At 48.6% G+C, this 24,048-nt stretch overlaps 1 protein-coding gene across 9 annotated transcripts in view, besides 2 other annotated features; it reads right to left on the bottom strand.

Annotated features, from left to right (window-relative positions):
* The window catches only part of SLC24A4 (solute carrier family 24 member 4), a 178,901-nt gene continuing 159,198 nt past the window's right edge, over positions 4,346–24,048 (bottom strand). For 8 of the 9 annotated variants that reach the window (NM_153648.4, XM_011536436.3, XM_011536437.3 and 5 more), the window contains 5 exons: positions 22,981–23,147; positions 19,047–19,161; positions 14,050–14,162; positions 13,587–13,652; positions 4,346–12,351 (listed from right to left, as the gene is read on the bottom strand). In NM_153648.4, the coding sequence (NP_705934.1) occupies positions 12,199–12,351; positions 13,587–13,652; positions 14,050–14,162; positions 19,047–19,161; positions 22,981–23,147 (614 nt within the window). In that variant the 3' untranslated portion in view covers positions 4,346–12,198. Of the gene's footprint in view, positions 12,352–13,586; positions 13,653–14,049; positions 14,163–19,046; positions 19,162–20,906; positions 22,100–22,980; positions 23,148–24,048 lie in introns of those variants that run through there. The other variant, XM_005267342.2, reaches the window with a different exon arrangement.
* Positions 4,567–5,066: an enhancer, noted in NCBI's record as "H3K4me1 hESC enhancer chr14:92967105-92967604 (GRCh37/hg19 assembly coordinates)". NCBI's record gives its function as "activates a minimal SCP1, AML or CMV promoter by ChIP-STARR-seq in primed H9 embryonic stem cells {active_cell/tissue: H9 hESC(primed)}" and the evidence as "EXISTENCE:reporter gene assay evidence [ECO:0000049][PMID:30033119]".
* Positions 5,067–5,568: an enhancer, noted in NCBI's record as "H3K4me1 hESC enhancer chr14:92966603-92967104 (GRCh37/hg19 assembly coordinates)". NCBI's record gives its function as "activates a minimal SCP1, AML or CMV promoter by ChIP-STARR-seq in primed H9 embryonic stem cells {active_cell/tissue: H9 hESC(primed)}" and the evidence as "EXISTENCE:reporter gene assay evidence [ECO:0000049][PMID:30033119]".

Below are 24,048 nucleotides of genomic sequence, written 5' to 3'. Positions count from 1 at the left end.
ATCGTGGCGGCCATGCATAGGTGTTGGCTAAGTTGGAGGCACCAGGCCAGGTGACAGGGACGCATTATCTCATATAATGGGCTCAACAACCCTTTGCAGGAGGTTCACCATCCTAGTTTTGCAGGGGATGAGATGAGGGTCTCTGAGAGGCCAAATCACGCAGCCCAAATCCCAAAGACTTGCCAGATGCCACGTTTCCAAATGGGACTCATCATCTCCCATGCCCCAAACCTGCTCCTCCCCTGGGCTTCCCTGTCAGAGGGCTGGGAGCTTTGCTCTCCTCCTCTCTCCCCCTTCTCTCAATAATCAGTTCCCAAATTCTGTGGGTGACAGCACCTCCACATGCACCTACAAGTCACCCTGCAAACACTGACCATCTGCCCTGAGACGACCTCTCCTCTCCGCAAACGGCCTCACCTCATTTCTGAGCTCCTGGCTGATGGCTGTTGTTCTGGTCTTGTTACCATTCCCTCATCCCAGCCATCCTCCACCCTGAATCGGGTGGCCCTTCAGAAACTGGAATCCAGAGCAGCTGCTGCTCTGGGAAGCCGCCTTCAGTGGCTCCCCACTAGCTGCCCCTCAAGGCCCTCCCACTCTCAGACATACCCTCACCTGCATCTCTCTCTTCCCGCTCTCACTCCTGGGCCCTGTGCTATGTCCTATGGCTGATCTAACAATCACCATAAATTTAGTGGCTTAAAACATCACACATTTATAATCTTACAGCTCGGAAGGTCAAAAATCCAAAATTGGGTTTCCCTGGGCTAAAATCAAGGTGTCAGCAGGGGTGCTTTCCTTCTGGAGACTTGGAGAGAATCCATTTTCTGCCTTTCCCAGCTTCTAGAAGCTTCCTGCATTCCTTGGCTCATGGACCCCACATTATTCTGACCTCTGCTTCCATCAGCTCATCTCCTCTCTCTGACCCTCCTGGCCACCTCTTATAAGCACCGTGTGATGACCTTGAACCTACCCATATAATCCAAAATTATCTCCCCATCTCAACATCCTTCACTTAATCGCACCTGCAAATTCCCTTCTGCCATGTAAGAAAACATAGTCACAGCTTCTGAGGATTAGGATGTGGACATTTCTGGGGCGCGTTATTCAGCCCACCGTAGCCCCCATGAAGTTTCCGGTTTGAGCTACTTGGAATTCTTTCATAATCTCTATATCATACTTTTTCCTAGTTATTCATTGCCTCCTTTTAAATCACAAAATGTTTGCTGTGATTTAAATGTATGTCTGTGTGCGTGACTCCCCTTCATCACCCTTGACACCCTTCATTCTTTAAGGCTTGGCTTGAGTCCATGTCTTCCTTGACTGCTGAGATGGTTGGGTGCCCCTTCTCTGGGCTCCTGCAGCCCCCGAGTTCACCTCCTCCCAGAATTGGGGGACACTTAGCTCCCTCTATCTCTGCAGCCAGCCCTTGGCATGATGCTTGGGACAGAGTAGGCCCTCAGTACATGTTTGTTGAATGAATCAGTGTGTGAAAAAAAACCTTTGTGTTGCTTCTAGGTTTCAAAGGCCAGTATGAGAGATGAGTTTAGACATCCCCAGATTGGTACCCATGTTTGGTGGGGGCCACAGGTGAGAATATTTCAGATTGAGTTTGTTCAAGAACATTCCAAATGAATGATTACCAAATAACAATAGAAGCAAGCTTACAAACAAAAGATCATAAAAACCAGAGGCAGGTGATTCATTCTGGCCTGCGGGTCTGGGAAGGCCTTGAAGGAAGTATGGGCTCTCCTCTGCAAGACAGAGAACTGGGGAAGTTGTTTGAAGCAGAGGGAGTAGCAGGAGGACAGGCACAGAGTCATGCAAGATAAAGAGGGAGAAGGGACATTCCTGTGTGATGATGTTAGAAATATGAGACAGGTCACCTCAGGTCACCCAGTGAGGCCATCGGAAGTCAACAAATGTTTCTGTGTCTGTGTGTTTTCAAGTCCAGAGATGACTCCAGTGGACAGCCAGCATGGAGAACCACTGGGCAAGAGAAAGAGGCTCCAGGTTGGAATGCAGGGAAACACTTTCACGTAAGGAGCAGGTGGAGGAGAAGCCAGGTGAGGAGATGAGAAATGATGAAGCAAAGGAGGCTGGGCACCGTGGCTTACTCCTGTAATCCTAGCACTTTGGGAGGCCAAGGCAGGCAGATCTCTTGAGCCCAGGGGTTTGAGACCAGCCTGGGCAACACGGCAAAACCCCATCTCTACAAAATAATACAAAAATTAGTCAGGCTTGGTGGTATGCGCCTGTAGTCCCAACTACTCAAGAGGCTGAGATAGGAGGATCACTTGAGCCTGGGAGGTCAAGGCTGCAGTGAGCTATGATCGTGCCACTGCATTCCAGCCTGGGTGATACAGCAAGAACCTGTCTCAAAAAAAAAAAAAAAAAAAAAAAAAAAAAAAAAAAGCAGCAGAAGCAGAGGAGAATCAGAAGAGAGAATTTGTTTATTCAGGAGGACACTATCTACAGTATTAAAACCTGCAGAATGGCCAAGGAGAGCAAAAGCCCAGGGTTACCATGATCTGACATTCAAGGCAGAGGACAGGATGTTCAGACCTCACAGGCAGTGAGTGGAGACTGAGTCGTGGAAGAGAGTCCATTGGTGGGGACAGAGAGAGGTCAGAACCCACTCCCATGTCTCCTCCCCACTCTACGACTTTGCTCTTCCTGGTGGACACCAGCCAGCAAATGCAGGTGACAGAAGCCTGGGAGAGGCCTGCTCCTGGAACCAGAGAACCAGCAGACCACCTGCACCAGGAGCTGTGTGAACTTGCAATTGCCTGGAGCAACTTTTAGGAAACATCAAAAACAACCTGAGAAAGCCTGGTGTGGTAGCCCAGGCCTGTCATCCTAGGTCCTTGGGAGGCTGAGACAGGAGGATCCCTTGAGCCCAGGAGTTCAAGTCTAGCCTGGGCAACACAGCAAGACCCTGTCTCTGAAACAAACAAGCAAACAAACAGAAAATCCAAAACAAAAAGCAAAGAAACCAAGCTGATAGAGACAGCTGTGGCTGTGAAGGCAGCTGAGGGGACGAGCTCCCAGGCAGATCAGATTCAGCCGAACCGCTGCTCCCTCGTCTGTTCCGGGCAGCCCTGGGCAATGGAAGAGGCCGTGGCTTCTCAGGCTGGTTCTCACAGTCACTAGCCTAGAGACCCCTTTGTAAAGGGGGGAGGACACCCATTCTGTTTCATTGGCTTTGTAAGCGATTAAGTGCCAGATAGCATGAGGGACACTGGGATGCCCAGAGCCTTGAGTACAAGGCCTGCAGAATCCACAAAGCCCACACACTAAAATGACCAAGACAGGGTCCTTCCTACTTCGTAATTGACTTCCTATCTCGTAGATGAACTGGAATGAGTTAAAATGAAAGGTGTTTCTAGCCCATCTAAAGTAGAACTTCTTGAAATATCTGTGGGCAAGATTCAAACAATATTTTAAAACAATTTTAATCCATTGTGGACTGATATTTTTGTAATGCAATATAAAGAAATTACTGGAAAGATGCAATAAAAAACCAGATTCCAACAGAATTACTCATCACATTTCCATCAATGTTCATATTCTCTCTTGATTTCTGTACTCATCTTGCTGCAGACCGATAAGAAGCCCCGTCTGTGAGCAGGCTTGGGTGTGAGTAGGGTTGATCTATCTTCTCACTGCTCAATGTCAACAGGTGGCATGGACATCACCTGGGAACTTGCTAGAACTCTAGCCTCTTGGGCCTCATCCCATTTCTGCTAAACCAGAATCTGCTTTTTTGACAAGATGCCCAACTGATTCGTGTGCATGTTAAAGTTTGTGGTGACACCCATGGCAGCTAAGACTCAGGAATGTTTTGCAGAATGAAGGAATTAACCAAAACCTCTACTCCCGAACCTCAATTTCCCATGACGTAAGAGCTAGTGACACAGACCTTCTTTCTGATGAGCAGGACCAGCTATGTAATTTGCAGAGCCCACTGCAAAAGGAAAAGGTGGGGGCTCCTTTTAAAAAAATCTTTGAGGGTTTCTAAGGTGGCGACAACCAAGCTGGGTCCTTCCAATGTGGGGCCACCTACAGGTCCCACCCTAGGAAGCTGCTGAGGTAAGACTGGGTCATTCTGGAGCCACTCATGCTAGCCAAGGAAAGTGATGAGAATTCTGCTCTGTTTCCATCTATTACCGACCATTGTCATTAAAAAGCTGCGACCCTTATCCTTTTTGAAGTTTATTTTTTCTTAATATGCAAATAGAAATGGCTTAAAATGGCTGTTATTCCAGTGTATAGAATTCTTTCAAAAATACAAATATGTGTGTGTCTATTAAAACGTGAATAGAAGCTCTATTTAGGGAAAGACAACTTGTGCTCATTTATTTTATTGACAGTGTACAGATTTTGATATATTGCATTACAATACTGACTGCTAGATTTCTTAGAAAGGTTTAGTTTAGATTGCTGTAGATTTTTTTCTTCACAATAAAAATAAACTCATGCCAGTGTTCAGTAACCAATAATATCAATTCATTCAAATTTAATGACAGTTTTATTAAACTAAGAATCTCATGTCACAGAGCATTCACAGTGCAGGAGGTCACAGTTATTGAAAAAATAAATAGCGGGATAAATATCCTCATTATTTACAACTTTTCAACTCGATGATCCTGCTTTGCCCATTAGAGAGAGAATGAACAAAGATGGTGGTGTTCAGCTCAGCGTGCCAGAACGATCTTGGGGTGACTTGAACAATGTGTGAACAGCCCCAGAAGTTCTTCGTTTTAGTTGTTTTTAAGGAGGTTCTTTCAGGACACAAGAGTCCTCTGATTCCATCTACCTGCTATTTGGTAGGTTCCCTCAGAAACCACACCCAGCCTGCATCCCCTTGGGCTTTGTGGATCTGCCTGGCCTCTCCTGGCTCGGCCCCTTCCTTAGCAACTCCTGTATCTACCCCTGGGCCTGGCTGCATCTGGCTGACAGCCTTTTTCCTCTCTAGGTAATCAAAGCTCTCTTTGTGCTCAGACACCAGCAACTATTCCCTGCTGGCGGCTGCTGGGCAGGAGACACAGGCAGAGGCGCCCTGCCAGGGAGTGTGTGCTCTGAAATGGAGACTCAGCCTCACAGACCAGCAACCCCCACTGTGGAGCTCCCCAAGAGTTGGCCACAGTGGCTCAGCCACAGTTCTGTCCGCAGGGTCTCCAGGTCCCCCAGGTCCAAGCCTCGTGCGGGAAGCTCAAGGAAGCAGACAGTGTGGTCATGGGGTCTGCAGCTTAGAGGGCAGGGATGAAAAGTGAGGGCAGAGATGCCCAGTGGCCAGAAAAAACTCACAAGAACAACTTATTTAGAAAAACAGAGCTGCCTTGTTCACACTCCAGTCATTTTTCAGGAGGGGAAAAGTCCTCTCTTCTTCCATTGAAAGAGGACTGCGCGTCTGTCCTGAATGGACTTGGGAAATTCTGTGTAGAGAATTCTGGAGTGACAGCAAAGAAGGCTCTGTTGTTTGGGACATTCCCTTTAGGCACAAAGGTAGATCACACCAAACCATGCATCTAGAAACCAAAAGCTGCACATTCCCTCTCTTGATAGCTTAAAACATTTGTTTTCCAGTGATGGGGTGATGAGGGTACTGACTCTCTGCAGGATTAAGAATTTTATTGGCCTGGCCCGTGGACAAGTCCCAACCAACATGTTGCATAAGAAGCAACTGCTTGGCGGGGCGCGGTGGCTCACGCTTGTAATCCAGCACTTTGGGAGGCCGGGGTGGGCGGATCACGAGATCAGGAGATCAAGACCATCCTGGCTAACACGGTGAAACCCTGTCTGTACCAAAAATACAAAAAATTAGCTGGGTGTGGTGGCAGGCGCCTGTAGTCCCAGCTACTCGGGAGGCTGAGGCAGGAGAATGGCATGAACCCGGGAGGCGGAGCTTGCAGTGAGTGGAGATCGCGCCACTGCACTCCAGCCTGGGCAACAGAGTGAGGCTCCATCTCAAAAAAAAAAAAAAAGAGAAAAAAAGAAGCAACTGCTTGGGCCGGGTGCAGGGGCTCACGCTTGTAATCCAGCACTTTGGGAGGTCAAGGCAGGAGGATCACTTGAGGCCAGGAGTTCAAGACCTACCTGGGGAACACAGCGAGATCCTGTCTCTAAAAAAAAAAAAAATGAAAACAAATTAGCTGTATGTGGTGGCATGTGCCTGTAGTCCTACCTACTTTTCAGGAGGATCACTTGAGCCTAGGAGTTTGAGGCTTTCGTGAGCTGTGATCAAGCCACTGCACTCCAGCCTGGGCAACAGAGTGAGGCCCTTTCTCAAAAAGAAAAAAAAAAAGCAACTGTTTGAATTCTAGCAACAGTGGGAACAGGTGTGGCTTAAGCCAGCATTTGTCACTGGGGTTATAACTAAGAAGCAGCCAATTCCCAGACCTGTAAATCCAAGGGATAGAAAAGCCACACAGCCAAGGGCTTGGCTTTCCCACAGGCACTCTGTGGATTTTCAGCTCTCAGAGATGCCACCCGTGGCCCTCAAATCCTGGTACCAGGGTATCCCAGCAGCAGACATGTTCCTAGACTAGACGAGAGTATACTGTCAGCCCTGTTTAGAAGCAGGAGGAAGATTCATAACTTTGACAACTGGACACTGACACCGTGAGATTGAATAAAGAGCCTTAGAAACATGCAGGTGAAAGACAACCCGTGCCCCTGGCAGTGTGTGCTTGTGAATGTTTGAGGATTTAACAGAGACTATGGCACCTGGGAGCCATTTGTCATTGAAAAGTTAGGAGGTTTAAAACCCCCATAAAATAACCAAAGCCCTAAAACCTCTCAGCTGGCTTCCCTGGAAAGATAGCTCCACCCTGGTTGCAGAACAGGAGGGAAAAGCCTCTTCTCCTGATTCCAGGTGGGCACCCATTTCCTTGCGCTGGGAGCACAGTGACAGGCTGGACATCCTCCCATTAGCTACCCGGCCTAAAGCTGAGCACAAAACTAGTGTCCCGATTGAGTTTTCTTTATCAACAAGCAAACACAGCAACCTAAATCAAAATGCCTTTTTTTGGCCAGGTGCGGTGGCTCACGCCTGTAATCTCAGCACTCTGGGAGGCCCAGGCGGGCGGATCACTTGAGGTCAGGAGTTCGAAACCAGCCTGGTCAGCATGGTGAAACTCCTTCTCTACTAAAAATCCAAAAATTAGCTGGGCATGGTGGCGCGTGCCTGTAGTCCCAGCTACCAGAGAGGCTGAGGTGGGAGAATCACTTGAACCCAGGAGGTGGAGGTTGCAACCAGCCAACATGGCGCCACTGCACTGAGTCTAGGCGACAGAGCGAGACCCTGTCTCAAAAAAAAAAAAAAAAGCCTTTTTAAAACCTGTACCCTGTGGATATGCCCTTTGGGGAACAGCTCTTTGCAGCAAGGCGAAGGGGCCCCCCACACAAGCCGGGCTGGTAAAGGCTGTGGCTCAAAGCGAACAGCAGAATCCCGTGTTCTCTGTCCTGTGGCACAGGCCTAGAGAAAGACCCCATCACTCTTGTTCCCATATAACTGACACAGTGGGGAAGATTTTCCCAAAGGACAGGAAGGGCCCCTCTCCATGCTTTGAGAAGCCCCAAGGGAGGCTTCATGCTTGAGGGGCTCACAGGATCAGCTACAGAGACCAGGAAATCCTTCGGGTGCACACACATAAAGAGAGCAAGCGCAGCGCTTCAGGCCCGGGGTAGATGGGGGTTGATGGACTTACTGCCACCCAAGAGCTGCCCACAGAGCATTTTCAGAAATTTCTAGAAGTTTCTATGGGCACGGTGTGCTGAAAGGAGGACCACCTCACGTGCCCCACGTACTCCTGCTAACTGCCCCCAGGGGAGGATGGTTCCCATGGAAATCACGTCTTGAGGGCATTAGAGAGACCATGAATATTTAGAGCATGGCATTTGGGTACAATCTCCTGAGGATTTTCACTCTAACAGGTAAGTTCTTTGTTTATTTGAGCCACACGCATTTGCTGAGAGTGGATCACAGGGACAGCACAGCCACCTTTTTCCAGCCAGGGAGGAGCATGGCCCAGAAGGAAAGGAAAGATGGGGATGCGAGACAAAAGACCAACCCCTCCCCCAAGGACCCATTCACCCAGGGCAGAAAGGTCTCTGCTTCTCAACTGCTGAATCCCAGGGGGAAAGTTCCAAAGTGTGGTAACAGAACCTTCCCTGTTCCAGTTTCCTAAGCCCCACTCACCCGTCGCCCATGGAGGGAAGGCACGGAAGGCAGCCTCAGCCGCTGGCGCTGGGATTCATTCGCTCTTGCTCTTTCCCAGGGGGGATGAACTCTGATCCTCTCCTGTCCCTCTGTCCACTCCAGCTTTAAGGAGGGAGAGGGGCCCCAGGATTCAGAGAGGAGAAAGGACAGGCAGAAAGACGGGTATCCAGCAATGACACCCCCCACACCCTTCCCAAAATCCCAGTCTGCTTGGGGAGTCCGGGTTCTCTGAGAGATGGGCTCCTGCTGATGCAATTAGGCTTGCAAATCCCCATAAACAGGGAAGAGCAGGTGGAAGAAACCTGGACCTTGGGCCGCCCAGGAACGGCCTTTGGTCAGGGTCTGTAGGACTGCCCTTGGGTGATAGACACACCCCACCTGGTCAGGGAAGCTTGGTGCATTATCAGCTGCTTAGGTCTGTTAAGGCAGGGGACCGACAGGGGCAAAAGCAAGAAACAGTCCTAACAGGTGAGGGGTAAGGAGCAGGTGAAAATTCACAAGGGCAGGCTGGGCGTGGTGGCTCACACCTGTAATCCCAGCACTTTGGGAAACCGAGGTGGGTGGATCACCTGAGGTCAGGAGTTTGAGACCAGCCTGGCCAACATGGTGAAAACCCGTCTCTACTAAAAATACAAAAATTAGCTGGGTGTGGTGGCGCACGCCTGTAATCCTCAGGAGGCTGAGGCACAAGAATTGCTTGAACCTGGGAGGCGGAGGTTGCAGTGAGCCAAGATGGCACCACTGCACTCCAGCCTGGGTGACACAGCAAGACGCTGTCTCAAAAAAAAAAGAAAAGAAAATTCATAAAGGCAGGCAGCTCTGTGCATAAGGAGGAGACACAAGTGACAAGGGGAAGAGGCATGGAGGCCAGCAGACTGTGGGTAACAGGAAGGATGGGGTGGGTAAGGCGAGGACTGTGTCCTGCCCACGGTGCCCTTAATCACCAGTCTCTCATTGCAGCTGACCCAGAACCTTCCTCCAGGGCCAGGTTTTCAAGATACTGGACACCTTCCACCCTAACCACGCTTGACCTGGTGAGGCAAAATTCCAAACCAGAAGTCCACAGGAACCACCTGCTCCTGTGTCTATAGGCATTTTCCATCTGAGTGCAATGGTTTTTTTTTTCTTTTCTGCCCCCAATGAGAAGAGCTAAATTCATTTTTTTAAATTGCCTATTTCTGTAGCAGAGTAATTATCCCATGCTAATGAGCTTTGGGAATAAAATAAAGTAATCCTGCGTAGTGATGAAAGCGTAATTTAAAAATGAAAGCCTAATTAATCATGCAATTCTTTAAATTTGTGATGGAAAAATATTTAGTTAAAAAAGAGAATTTTCCACCTACAGTGTACATATAGTTTTCCAGATTTAATAAATGCATAGATCCTTTAAAGGAAGTTACATTGGCACATTAAAGTCAAAAGAAAATTAGCCAAGAGGAGCATATTACATATTAAAAAACATTATTTTAGTTTCTAACTGCAACTTTAGAGACTAAGAGTATTCATTTAGAATCTCAAATGGGTTCTGCTGAGGAAGAGGAGGGTAATTAGGATACGTGTGCTCTGAAAGCTACACAAGGCTTCAGAGAATTGAAAACCAGCAGGGACGCCATCAGGGGCCATGTGGCCTGTGCCTTGCCATAGCTAAAAATAATTTTTGGTCCTTTTTTCAAGATAAAATAGAGGCATTGGATAGGGACAGATATTAGGAAATGACCTGAGGAACCCAGGAGTCAATGATATATTGATGAGGTTTTGACTCAAACAGTAAGAACCAACCAGGAGGGTAAAGTCATACCCACACTCACTCCCCAAGTGTGGCCAACTTACAGAGGCTGGCCTGGGAGGGGTGATGGACTGGTGCTTGGCCTCCCTTCTGCTATGACTGGCCATTGAACTAGAGACCCTTGACCTCTCCAAGACACTACTTTCTGTTAAGTGGGGAGAATAATCCCTACATACATCACAGAGCAGTTTGGAGAATCAAAACAGAGACAGAAGCACTTTGGAACCTGGATGAGCCTGTAAGATCGGAGGAACCAGGAGAACTTGGCTATTAAGGTGACAGAGTGGTCCCGAGGGCTCTGGAATCCCTGCAGCTGAAGTTTATACTGGTGAATCTACAGGGGCCCTGCCTTCCCTCTTTGCTGATTTCTTAGGAAAATCACCCTCGTCCTCAAGTTGAAGACCACTGAGCCCAATTTCTAGGTAAAAAAACAAAAAGAGAAGCCTGAACTTGGTGTAGCTACGATACTAATACTGATGTGAATCCCAAATAGAAGCCTGGTGGTGGGGGTGAGGTCCTGTCGCAGGCTCATGCAACAGGGAACTTCAGGGACACAAGCACGAACACTTCCTCCTTTTGAAACTCAGGAGGCCCTAAAGGGCACAGTCAGAAATTCCAACCAGCGTCACGATCTTTGAGTCTCAGGAAGGGATTAGCTACTGGATTTAAACTCATCACCAAGTTTAAAGTGATGTCTGGTGAATCACAAAAAAATGTTCTTTCCTCTTACATCATCATGGGTAGTTCCCATACATTCATCCGTGCAAAATATCTCAATATTCAAAGTGCATCAAATCGGATAGACTTTTGCAATAGAAATATTAAAAAAATAAAAAACCTCTCTATAAAATTAATTGTGCTTTCTTTTTAGAAATCATAAACCATAAATGGTTTGTATTCATAAATCTTTTAAATATATATTTGAGAGCTATCAAGTGGTCGAAGATTATTTTATATTTTTCTATCTAGTTTTGAGTCAGCCTCCCATTCTTGGCCTGCCACGTGTAGAAACTACGTGGTTCCAGAAGCTTAGCTCTAAATATTCTAAATTCTGATTTTCACACTTGCCTTCAGCTAACCAGAAAGCAGTTTGTTGTTTTTCAGGCAATCTCTTCTCGTCATTAACCAGCACTTCTGACACACTCAGTTCAGTTCAGCAGGCTATGAAATTTGTTGGGCATATAAATAACTGGAACTTTCAACAGGGTGGTTTTGAAACTAGAGCATTAACCAATAAATGACAAACCCACAAGGACAGTGCATTGTGTCACATAGAAGATCTGGAAAGTACAGCTGTAAACTATAATCTCCAGTCTCTGAGTTAGCACCTTTCCACGTTAGTCTCTTACCTTTTTCCCTATTCCAAACCAAACACCTCAGTGCCAATGCAAGATGGCATACAGAGGATTTGTGTCTTTACGATCATTACTTTTTTGGTGTGTATCATGATCCTTTCATATGGAATGATAATTTTCAAGTATGATGACCTATATGATGTTTCATTTTTTAATATTTCATTGCTTATTCTCTGAATGCATCAATAAAAGTGAGAAGAATATTCACTCATTTTCTCTCTTCCACAGAAAAAAATTATTTTCATTCTTCCAGTTTTTCCAGGAAAAGGGGTAGAATGTCTGCCATCATGGGCCCTAAACCCCAACAGGTTGAGGTCTTGCCCCTTCCAAACTGTGGCTGCTTCCAGCAAAAGTCAGAGGCTCCCAGGAGCACATGCTGCCTAAGGAACCACCTCTGGGCTGGAGGTGACACTTGAGAACAACATTCCTATTTTGCACCTGCCCTATGAGATCTTGTGCTCACAAATGACCTCAATTCTGAAGCTGCCTGCAGAACAGAAAGACAAACTGCATGCAGAAGTCCTTCTGACTAAAGTGTGCAGGAGAGATGAGATGCTTGGCACATCTCCGTGGTTGGCAGCTCAGGGGTCTTTGAAGCTGCTCAGATAATGGCCCCCAAATCCAGCCTTGCAGGGGCGGAACTCCAAGGAGGAGGAGGATGCCCAGCAGCCTGGCCTGTGGCCAGACAAAGACCACGATGGCTCTTCCTTCCAGTGTGTGAAAGAACGGACAGTGGCTGCCTATGCAGGAGAGACCTGTGGTGGGGGAAGGAGGGGAGAGGAGAACGCCAGTGTCACAGGGTGTCCAGATCAGCTCCCAGGGGCCGCGACTCAGCGCTAATCGTCTTCCCGGCACATCGGCAAGTTGACGAAGGTAAAGACGTTAAACTCTATCATTATGGAGAAGCACAAGAAGATGGCGTAGAGAACCAGCACGTAGACACCCAGCTTCCGGTCCAGTCGCCACTTGTTTAGGTGGATGCCGAGGACCTGGGAGGACAGAGTGTGGGAACTGGGCTTGCAGGGCAAAGAAATACAAGAGGCATTTCTACTGGAAAGCGACACCTATGTGGGGAAACCTAGAACATTCTGCAGAATGTGGGCAAGTGTAGCGGGGTGCTGCAGTCTGATCCTCAGTTTGACCAGAATAAGCCCTAGAGGGCTTAGACTTGCCCCATGAAAGGGCGAGTCTCTGTCCTAGCCGCATTGACTCAGGGATACACAGCAGCCGCCCTCATGGGACCGGCCCTCCCCAGGCAGGCACGTCACTTCCTCCCGGCTGGTCGTAGGCATGTGGTCCTCCTTGCCCAGGCCTTCTCTAGAGACAAATGGGGGCTTTAGCTGGATGACCCCTGTGCTTCAGAGCGTGGAACCATGGTCTTTTCCCTTGTCTCCTTAGCACAATTTCCAAGGCTCCTATGGACCCCTGGCTGGGCAAATCTTTCTCTGTGTGTGTGTGTGTGTGTGTGTGTGTGTGTGTGTGTGTGTGTGTGTGTGTGTGTGTGTTTGGGGTAGAGGGTTAAAGCACGGAATTATCTTACATTCCTCCCTGATCCTTCTATCTTTCCTTCCACTGCCTTCCTCCTTGTCCCTCGATCAAGGCTTCCTGGGGCTGGATCCCAGGAACCTCACTGGAGCACTGCGAGTAAAAAGTCAGAGTTCCCTAAGGACAGACCAACCTGGGTTCAAATCCTAGCTTTGCCATTGCCCAATTCTGTGACCTTGGGAAAGTTAACCCCTGAGCCCCGATTTCTTCTGCAATGGGAATGATAGCACCTCCCTCATCAGGTGGTTGTAAGGATAGAATAAAGTGACGCTGAAGTCAAGTGCTCAGCACAGACCTGGACATGTAGGGTAGGGAGGCCTCAATTATTCCGACGTGCCATCCTGAGGGATGTCATGCCTCCCATTTGTCAGCTCAGATGCGCAGGGGAGGATCTCTCTCCTACTGGCACTAGAGAGGAACTGGACCAGGCAGCAAGAAAGGAAATGCAATTCGCTTCCTCTGGGGACTTCTTATGTACTCAGCAAAAGCACAGCGAGAGTGCCAATGCTCTTGGCAAAGACTGGACTTGGGTGTGTCTATGAACGTCTACATTTTCTTGCCTTTATCCTTCACTACCAAGGGAAGTGACAGGGGTGTACAGAGTCACGTAAGTGACGAGGCGGAATCAGATGAAATCAAGTATGCATGAGGCATCTGTTTTGGAATTGTAAAGACTCACGGTGAGAGCGACAGAGCCCAGCAACAGGACCACGGAATAGACCAGCCCCCGGCTGTTGATCTTCACCTGGAAAATCAAACACACGTGCCCTGAGTCTCTTGACTGCTCAGAGCCAATCCATCCAGAAATCCCAGCATGCCTGGGCCCAATGCATTCCCTCATCAGGAAAACACAGGTGTTTACAGGTGACCACATGGTCGTGGAGGGTCAGGAAAATACGGATTCAAGTCACGACCCTGCTCATCTGAGGAGACAGCCTGGGATGGGGAGAGGCACGCCAGCGGGCTGAGGTGAGGAGTGGAAGTGTAGACATCCCTAAGGTGCTCTAGAAGCCGCCATGGAAAATGGGTGTCTGAGTGCCAAGGAGAGGAGGAGGTCGTCTCCTAGAGCCTCTGGCTGGAACTGGGCCAACACCACTAGCCTTCTGGGTAAAACACATCTGTTAAAGGTGAGAGGAACTTACTGTTGATCCATAATTAACAACCATGGTCTGCAGGCCCCACGGTACACCAAGTCCTACCAGGATGTCAAACACGTTGCTTCCTATGGTGTTGGAGACTGCCATGTCCCCAAGGCCTGCAGGGGACAACAACACATTTATTTTATAAGAGCAGGTCACCAGAAGCCTGTATTCTTTCTCCTAACTGTTCTATCAGTGCCATTCCTTGGAAAGCAATTCCTTCTGCAAGGACCTTACATTTCTAAACCTTTTCATAAGGCCTCAGATCCATGCCCTTCCTGAAGCCTAAAGGGGACTATTATGGGTTGACTGTGACCCTCCAAATTCATATGTTGAAGTTCTAACCCTCAGTACCTAAGAATGTGGCTTTATTTGGAGATAGGGTCTTTATAGAAGTAACAGGTTAAAATGAGGTCGTTAGGGTCTTAATCCAATATGACTGGATTTTTTCTTCACAATAAAAATAAACTCATGCCAGTGTTCAGTAACCAATAATATCAATTCATTCAAATTTAATGACAGTTTTATTAAACTAAGAATCTCATGTCACAGAGCATTCACAGTGCAGGAGGTCACAGTTATTGAAAAAATAAATAGCGGGATAAATATACTCATTATTTACAACTTTTCAACTCGATGATCCTGCTTTGCCCATTAGAGAGAGAATGAACAAAGATGGTGGTGTTCAGCTCAGCATGCCAGAACGATCTTGGGGTGACTCGAACAATGTGTGAACAGCCCCAGAAGTTCTTGGTTTTAGTTGTTTTTAAGGAGGTTCTTTCAGGACACAAGAATCCTTATAAAAAGGAGAAAACTGGACATGCAGGGAGAACCTGGGCAAAGATGAAGACAGCCAAGGGCAGAGAGGCAAGAGGGGCCTGGGACAGACTCTCCTTCAGGCTTCTGGCCTCCGGAACCACAAGACAATACACTTCCGTTGTTTACGGCACCCCGTTTGTGGGAACGAAGCCTAGCAGATGCATGCGGGCCCTTCATGATCTCTCCTGCCAGGCTTGTCAGCTGATGTTCTATGAGGACTCCCGGCCACTGCGCCTCACTTCATGTTCCCAGCTACCCTGGGCTGGAGGCCGGAGTGGGGCATAACCTCGCGTGACAGAAGATGAAACTGAGGCTTGGGATGTGCCCAAGGGCACAGTTTGCAGGCGGCCCAAGGTCCCCTGGTACAGCATCCTTTTTACCAAGCCTTGAAGCATATTTGGGACCCAGGCAACAGCACCCACGACCCTGCCTGGGAATCACAGGATATCGGATTGTATGCTCTGGTAGTTTCTGAAGGGTGAGCTCTCTTTCCCCAACCAGGCTAGAAGCACATCAGAGGCTGGGGCCCATGTCCTCGTCCTTCCCCTTCCTGTCCAGCTGTCCAGTATCCAGCTAGCCACACAATCAGGAAGTTAGTAACTGGAGAGGCATATAATTAAGAAAGCAAACTTTTGTAAGTAAGACTCGTACTGGCTGGAATCTGCCCTAACCCGGCCACTGAGCCATACTTCCACACCACTGTCCTAACCTGGCACACATACACATGTTTTTGGAATGAACAAACCTGAAACGCACATGCCTAGAACCACAACATTGCTTTGGTAGCTGGCACATACGGCAGGCAACTCAGATCGGCACCCACACAGGTGGCCCATCTCTGTTCGACTGCCAGCCCGCCCATGTTGCATAGCTAGGTCACCTCCTCCTCCCCTGCTTGTTGCTGTCATCTGTTGGCCCCTTACACTCCTCCTCCCAGCCTGCCCCAGGCACTTTTCTGAGTGACTTCAAAATCTCTTAGCTTAGTCCTGTTAGGAGTGGCGTCTCTGGGAACCTGGACTTCTGGTCTGTCAGTGTCCGGTAAGATGCGGGAACATGCAGCAACTGTTGTGGCCCAGTTAGTTGCACCTGGTGAAGAGGCAGGCACTCCGGCAGGTCAGGAGGGTAGGAAGGTGCCTGAGTTTGCAGAGGAGGGGATGAGCGGGTCTCAGGTTTGGTGGACTTCCCGCTCTGCACAAACGGGGCTGCCGGCAGCTGTGTGAGCCTTTGAGGACTTCTAGGGCAGTGCGACTCAAATTTTAGTGAGAACAGGAATCACCTGGGGGTCTTGTGAAAATGCAGATTCTGATTCAGTGGGTCTGGGGCACAGCTTGGGAGTCTGCATTTCTCATCAGCTCCCAGGTCAAGCCGATGCTCGGGGCTAGGACCATGCTATGTGCTGCGGGCCTGGAGGGAGGCCAGGATATGGTGCCTCGGGTTAGAGCACGTGCTGCACAGCCTCCTGGTTTGTACAGCAGGCTCTGAACAGGGGTTCCTGGATCTTTTGTCATCAGGAAGCTATTTTTTTTTTCTTTTTGAGACGAAGTCTCCCTCTGTCGCCTAGGCTGGAGTGCAGTGGTTCACTGTAACATCTGCCTCCTGGGTTCAAGCAATTCTCCTGCCTCAGCCTCCCGAGTAGCTGCAATTACAGGTGTGCACCACCACGCCTGGCTAATTTTTTTTATTTTTAGTAGAGACGGGGTTTCACCATGTTGGCCAGGCTGGTCTCAAACTCCTGACCTCAGGTGATCCGCCCACCTCGACCTCCCAAAGTGCTGGGATTACAGGTATGACCCACCGCGCCCAGCCAGGAAGCTATTTTTAACCATGTTTGTTGGAGTCCCTGTCAATCATATCAATGTTACCCTGAGGACTATTACGCAACCCCCGCCCCTGGCCTCACCCTTCCTCAGTTTCTGTACTTCCACATTTCGCTGTAGCCACTCTGAGATGATGTGCTGCTTCAGAGCCCCATCTGTCCCTTGGTCCTAACAGAGACCCTTTGTTGATCTTACTGGGACACTCCCCACTCCTGCAAGCCCTTAAACTTCCAGCATCCTAACACCCCTCCCTAGCCTGAACTCCAGGGCCAGTTGTTTAAACTGCACATTTCCTTGTCCCTTGACCTTCCACTGTGTCCACCCAGCTGACTCTGGCTAGGGATGAACTTGTCATCTGTGCACCGCTGGCGCTGGCATGACTGAATCCCACCAAGTTCATGTCGCTGAACATCGGCCAGGGCCCCGGTGCTCACCAGCTTTCCTTGTACTCACTGTACTGGGCTGAGTACCCTGCCCCCATTCATGTCCATCTGGAACCTGTGAATGTGACTTTATTTGGAAATAGGGTCTCTGAGGATGTACTCAAATTAAGGTAAGGTCATACTAAATTAGACCCGGTGCTCACCAGCTTTCCTTGTACTCACTGTACTGGGCTGAGTACCCTGCCCCCATTCATGTCCATCTGGAACCTGTGAATGTGACTTTATTTGGAAATAGGGTCTCTGAGGATGTACTCAAATTAAGGTAAGGTCATACTAAATTAGAGTGAGTTCTAATCTGATGACTGGTCTCCTTATAGGAAGGAGGAAGTCTGCTGGGTGCAGTGGCTCATGCTGGTAATCCCAGCACTTTGGGAGGCTGAGACAGGTGGATCACTTGAGGTCAGGAGTTTGAGACTAGCCTGGCCAACATGGTGAAACCTTGTCTCTACTAAAAATACAAAAATTAGCTGGGTGTGGTGGCATGTGCCCGTAGTCCTGGCTACTCGGAAGGGTGAGGCAGGAGAACCGCTTGAACCCAGGGGGCAGAGGCTGCAGTAAGCCGAGATCACGCCATTGTACTCCAGCCTGGGTGACAGAGTGAGACTCCATCACAAAAAAAAAAAAAAAGAGGAAGAAGGAGGAGGAGGAGGAGAAGGATGGAAGGAAGGAAGGAAGGGGAGGAGGAGGAAAAGGAGGAGGAGCGAGAGGAGGAGGAGGAGGAGGAGCAGGAGGAGGAAGTCGACACAGACATACCAAGGGAAGAATGCGGTGTGAAGGCAGAGGCAGAGATTGGAGTGATGCAGCTACAAGCCAGGGAGACCCAAGGATTGCGTGACCACTGGAAGCTAGGAAGGGGCAAGGAAGGTTCCTCCCCTAGAGCCTTCAAGGGACCATGGCCCTGCTGACACCTGACTTTCAGACTTTTAGCTGCCAGAGCTGTGAGACAATGAACTTCTGTCATTTTAAGGCACCCCATTGTGGCACTTTGTTATGACTCCCCTAGGAAACTAACACGCTCACATCAAAGATCACTCAGTTAAATTCCATTCCTCCCTCAGCTGCTGTCCCTAACTGTCCCCATTCGCTGTCAGGGCCCTGCCGACCAGCAAACGTACTTCCACTCTTCCTTTCCCCTCATCTCGTGGTTTCTCAGGCTCAACTCACTAACCAACCAATCAACCCTTTATCTTGGAGGAATAACACGTCCTGTCTCTCTTCCCAAAGCCAACCTCTCTCTTTGGGCACTGTTCTCTTCTGTCTCCTGTGAGATTTTACGCCATTATTCACCCATCCCCATCCCTATACTTTCAAACTCTGTGCTGTGAGGAAGATCTGTGGATGTCCATGCTGGGATGCTACCTGGCTAGCAGAAAAGAAGTCAGTAAAACCTGCACTTGTTACAGCTCTTTTGTTCCACCATCAAAGCTCATACACTCACTCCTTGTGTTGCTCAGCCCATGCCACGTAGTAAGCCCAAAACGAAAACCACCAAACAAACCAAAACATTATACACGTTCTAGAGGTCAGAAGAAGAATGGGGGAGTTGGATGTATAGGATGCCAGTGCTTTGCCTTTCTGGGACCAGAATGTTTCTTGTTATTAGCTCATTTGCTGTATAAAGTCTGGGCTTGGCCTCTGTTCAATCTCACATTGACTGCTGACCTCAGAACATTTTTGTTTTTATACAACCACACTAGCAAAAGCTTCTAGATAGAGGTCTGGAGGAGTTCATCTTGGTAGCATTCTCTCTGTGGATGGAATCTAATAAATGATGCTTTCTAGATGTCGCAGTTTTTCTCCACAGCAGGACTTGACAACTGCCAGTCATAAGAGCCACAACTTGGTCAACTGTAAGTCAGGCAGGGACGAGGACACAGTGGCCTGCACTGCATGACTATGAGGGCTGGGGCATAATCCATACCTTGTCTCGCCACAATTAGGCTGGCCATGCAGTCTGGAACACTTGTCCCTGCTGCCAGGAAAGTAATGCCCATGATGACATCCGGGATCCCAAGTGTGTATCCGATAATAGTCACCTGCAGAATGTGGGGTGGAGACATGAACTCTCAACCAACAGTGTGTGGACTAAAGAAATATTCCTAGTATTAGAGACACTGTAAGCGTAGGAAACAGTTATTTTAGAATTACTGGGGCTGCCTCTTTTAAAACAAAACAAAACAAAACAAAAAAAACCCCCACTGAACTACGAGGCTAAGAAGCCAAAGGATGGAAGGATGGAAGGAAGGTCTTGAGTGTGCACATACCATCCAGAGTGCTCAGGACCAGGGATGCCACATGAACCCTGCTTTACCCTGGACTCCATGCCCAGGCCCTCTGAGCCCTCCAACACTCAGGCTTCAGACCAGGAAGCAGATTCAAGTCCAGGACCCTGGCGGCTGGTCTTGGCTCTGCCCTGCCTGTCTGTGTGACTTTACAGAAGTCATTTCTTCTCTTTGGTCCTCAGTTTCCCCAACTGCACAAGTGTTCTGGGGAAATGGACAATCCATTTCCAAGGCCTCTCCCTTTTGACACTGATATTCAAGAATCATTCTTCCAAAGCCTTGGGGGTGAGAGATGTATTAATAAAAGGTGGAGGTACAGGGGATGGACAGGTGGGGCTTCACTGCTTGCTGGAGCCTCACCAGGACATAGTGAAAGTAAGCGCAGGGTGCTGAGGTGGGCACATCTTGCATAGGCAGAGATCAAGGCTAACGTGGACACTGCCTTCTTTATAGACTTTTACTGTCAAGGCCATTCTACTCCCCCAGAATGAGGCTATTTGAAGTTCAAACCCATAGGTAAGAGTGCCCCAGTAAAGTGGTTCCTGTGACCCCATGACCCTGGTTTAAGAAACAAGGGTGGGGTTTATACCTCAAGGTGGTGGGGGTTGGAGTATCCTGTCTCACTGAAAATTAGCAGAACTGATTTAATCATATGGTTATTTTCTGTAACTAGAGAAGAATTTCACATATTCATTAATTTGATCTTCCTGATTCTCTCACCCACTCAAATGTCATGAAATACTTTTTTTTTTTACTTGTAATGTTGTTTTGGAAATACACTTCAGTAAGAGAAATCGCTGGATCCTTTCTTTAAAATGTAAGATGAACTGGCCTTTAATTTTATTCAGAAAAATTAAAAATTGCAAATCCAATTCACTTAAGGCACAGTTTTCTTTATCTCTGATTGTCATCTTTTTCTAGGGAGTTTTTTTTTTTCTTTTCTTTTTTCTGAGACAGGATCTTGCTCTGCTCCATAGCCCAGGCTGGAGTGCAGTGGATTGACCATGGCTCACTGTGGCCTCAACCTCTCGGGTTTAAGCAATCCTCCCACTTCAGCCTCCTGAGTAGCTGCAACTACAGGTGCATGCCACCACACCTGGCTAATTTTTTTAATTTTTTGTAGACACAGGGTCTCACTATGTTGCCCAGGCTGGTCTTGAACTCCTGGGCTCAAGTGATCCTCCTGCCTTGGCCTCCCGAAGTGCTGGGATTACAGGTGTGAGCCACCACACCCAGTCTCTAGGGAGTTTAGATAGTAACTAATTCCAAATCTTCTTCCCCATCCCCCATATGGAGTGGGCTGTGGGGACTTTAATCTTCATCATGGAAGCATGGAAACAGCACTGCTGCATCTCATGGTGAAAATGGCTAATATTTACTGTCATGAGCAACCAACCATGCTGCAAACTCAAATCACAATGCTTGAACAAGATGAAGTAAGATTAGGTTGAAATTGGGTATAATGTACACAACACTAACTCGACACAAGAAGGGCACTATAAGAAATCACACTACTCAGTGGCCAAACTGTGTATTATTCAGCAACGCTCATGATCATCTGACTGTTACCAGGTAATCACCCTTAATTGGCTGTTGGTTTCAATAAGCGGCTAACGACTGGATGCTTCTGACACAGTCTAACCAAACTGTTTTGGGCTGGGAGTAGGGTGTGAAAGGGAGTGGTCAGGAGGGACATGAATGAGGTTCTGGGGGACTTGAATGTTCAAGTGTCCCCATGTCCCCCATTTAGCTGAACCAAGGCCAGGGTGTTCCAAGTGTGAGTGCCTGGGGCTGGGGCAGATGCTGGGGTCCTGGAGGCTTGGAGTGGTTCTGCCTCTCCTGAGTTACATGACTTGTTTCATTCACTAAAACACAATCACAGAGTCCATCCTGAGCTTCTTTTTGGGATACAGAGCTCTAAGCCGGTACCAGGAGTCACAGAGTCCGTCCTGAGCTTCCTTTTGGGATACAGAGCTCTAAGCAGGTACCAGAAGAAAGGGAGAAAGGGAACAGGCTGGGGGCAGCACCTTCCACCAGCTGGTGTCTTGGGGAGGCTCTGCCACAGGGACAGGAGGGCTGCTGCATGAGTAAGGACACTCACAGAGGTTGCGGCAGGTCTCTGATCAGCCTGAGGAAGCATCTGAGGTGAGGGAGCCGGCCAAAGGGTGGGATTTCAGGAAAGCATAGGCAAAATGGCTCCCATACACTGTTTAGAATTCCAGTAATGCTCTGGGAGAGATGGGGGAAGGCGTGATTGGGTTGGGGGGAGGGAAGAGACAGGATTGGCCAAGTGCCTAGAATGTGCTGGGCTCTCTTTTCATTCTCCCAATGGCCTTGTAAGAGAGTGATGATCACCCCCACTTCATAGAGGGAGTCACCAGCTTCTGTGGTTTGCAAGAGGTAGGACTAGGATTCAGCGCTGTTCTCATGTGATCCAGGATCCTTTGTTCCCCACCAAACGACACGGTTTCTCTGGAGTTAAGGGAAAGGTGGCCCCTGGGCCAGCATGGAACGTTTACTGGCCCTGCTGTCTCTCATGTCAAGATCGCTTGCCTTCTCTGCTGCTGGTGTCAGGCATTAGGAGGAGAATAAAGGGACTCGATGTTAACCACTAGGGTGTAAGGGGCTGAGAGTGAGTTTCACAATCAACAGAACTGCAGCCATGCTGGAACTGCTTCCCCTCTCTTTGCTCCTGGGAATGAGGAGGAGAAGAAGGGACCCCATTAGGTGGTATACAGAGAGTGGGGAAGGAGGCTCCTGTGTGGCCTGACCCAGCCCAGCCCAGCCGATGAAAGGTTTACATGGGGACTTGTCCTGTATGGCCATAGGAGCTTATGAGGAGCTACACCAATGCCTCTCTGCCTGCAAAACTCCCATCCAACGAAATCTGAAAAGTCCAGTAGCAAACTGAGAGGCAGCTTATGGTAGTAGTTGAGATCATGGGCTTAGGAGATCAATACCTGGGTCCTAATCCTAACTCTGGCACTCACTAACTGTGTAACCTTGGGGAAATTACTCAATTTCTCTATGCCTCGATTTCCCCCATTCGTTAGATGGAGATAATAGCACCCATCCCATGGGGCTGTTATGAGGATAAGAAAGAGTTTATATGAAGGGCTTAAACCAGCACCAGCACATCAGTGGGGGGAGGAGCATTCCTGGGCAGGAGCAAGGAACAAGCTGCCTTGTGTTCAACCTCATCTCCCTTGACTCCAGTCTCCTTCCTTCACATTCCCTTGGGACCCTGGAAACCAAGGGGGCTTGGTGATCATCCACCTGTCATATTGCTCTGCCTGTAACACCAGAACAGTGTGATTTAGGCTGCCTGTGCAAAGGTTGGTCCCCTTCCCTCACACTCGAAGGCAGGCACTGTGCTGTGTCTCTGCATTCCGGGTACCTGACACAGAGTCATGCACCTCATTCAAACCCTTTTCTACTGAGAAATACGCTGTGGTCAGTGAGGCCAGTGACTCGCCCAAAGGTGGCACAGCAGTACCTGTGGTTAGCCTTGAACCCAGCTCTCCACCTCTCCCTGGCTGTGCACACAGTCCACCCCCTGCTCCCCCCACTCACCAGCCACACCATGATGTAGGAGAACACAGCGATCCACAGCGTGGCGGTGATGAAGGTGACCATGAAGAACTTCTCCCAGCGGGGCTTGCTGCAGTTGGGAATGGTGACGCACAGGAGGAAGATGAGGGGCCAGGTGAACACCCACTTGACCTTGTCCCCTCTGGCCTCTGCAGGGTGAAGGGGCAGAGTGAGAAAGGAGGGGGAGAGAAAGACACTGGGTAACACACCTGCCAGTCTACCTGTCGATTTAGTCTTCAAGCTAAATAAGAGAATGCCACCGATGTGACTCTAGGCAACTGACCTTGCAGAATCACAGAACTCCATAATGTCACCCTGGAAGTGGCAAGACAATTCAGTAAGTGTTTGTTGCTTGAATAACTTAAGTCATTCCAAATCCTTCATTTGACAGGATAAGGAAAGTGAGGCTGAGGGGGAACAGACTCACCCAGAGGAGCTGGAATGGGGATGTGAGTTATGGTTGGGCTTTGAAGACAGACAGCCCTGGGCTGGAAGTCAAAGGACCTTGAGAATCCCAACTCTACTTCCTCCTCTGACAATAATAACTTAGATGTAACAACAACAGGGCAGCAATAATCAACACATCCAGCATTTGCCATGTGCTGCAGGCACAGTGCTAAGTGCTTTGCATCTTATTGGTTTCCTCATCTGTTAAATGAGAAAGGTATCTCCTTCTTGGTTGTTGCAAGAATGATATGACAGAGTGTACATAAAACACCCAGCACACGGGGCCTGGCACACAGCAGGTGCTTTGGAAATCTCAGCTCCTTTGTCCCAAGGTCATGTAGTCAAGACTGGTGCAAGACTAAATGTGTGCCCTGGCTGCAGTCCAGATCTCACTGGCCCCTACCAAGGGAATCCAGAAACAATTCAATGGAGGAAAAGAGGCCTCATAAGCCATTGAGTGTAAGCATAGTTTCCTTAATAAGCCACTGAAGATAGGTGTGCACAAGCAGGTTAAAAACTGGCCTGCTCATCAATGAAATGGTGGAGGAAGGACTTCTGCAATTTTTATTTTTTGTAGAAGCATTGAGAACAACAGCAAAAAAT

Source organism: Homo sapiens, chromosome 14 (genome assembly GCF_000001405.40).
Source record: "Homo sapiens chromosome 14, GRCh38.p14 Primary Assembly".
Taxonomy (NCBI): Eukaryota; Metazoa; Chordata; class Mammalia; order Primates; family Hominidae; genus Homo; species Homo sapiens.
Note: the sequence above shows the minus strand (reverse complement) of the source record. Positions and strands in the feature narration are given on the sequence as shown.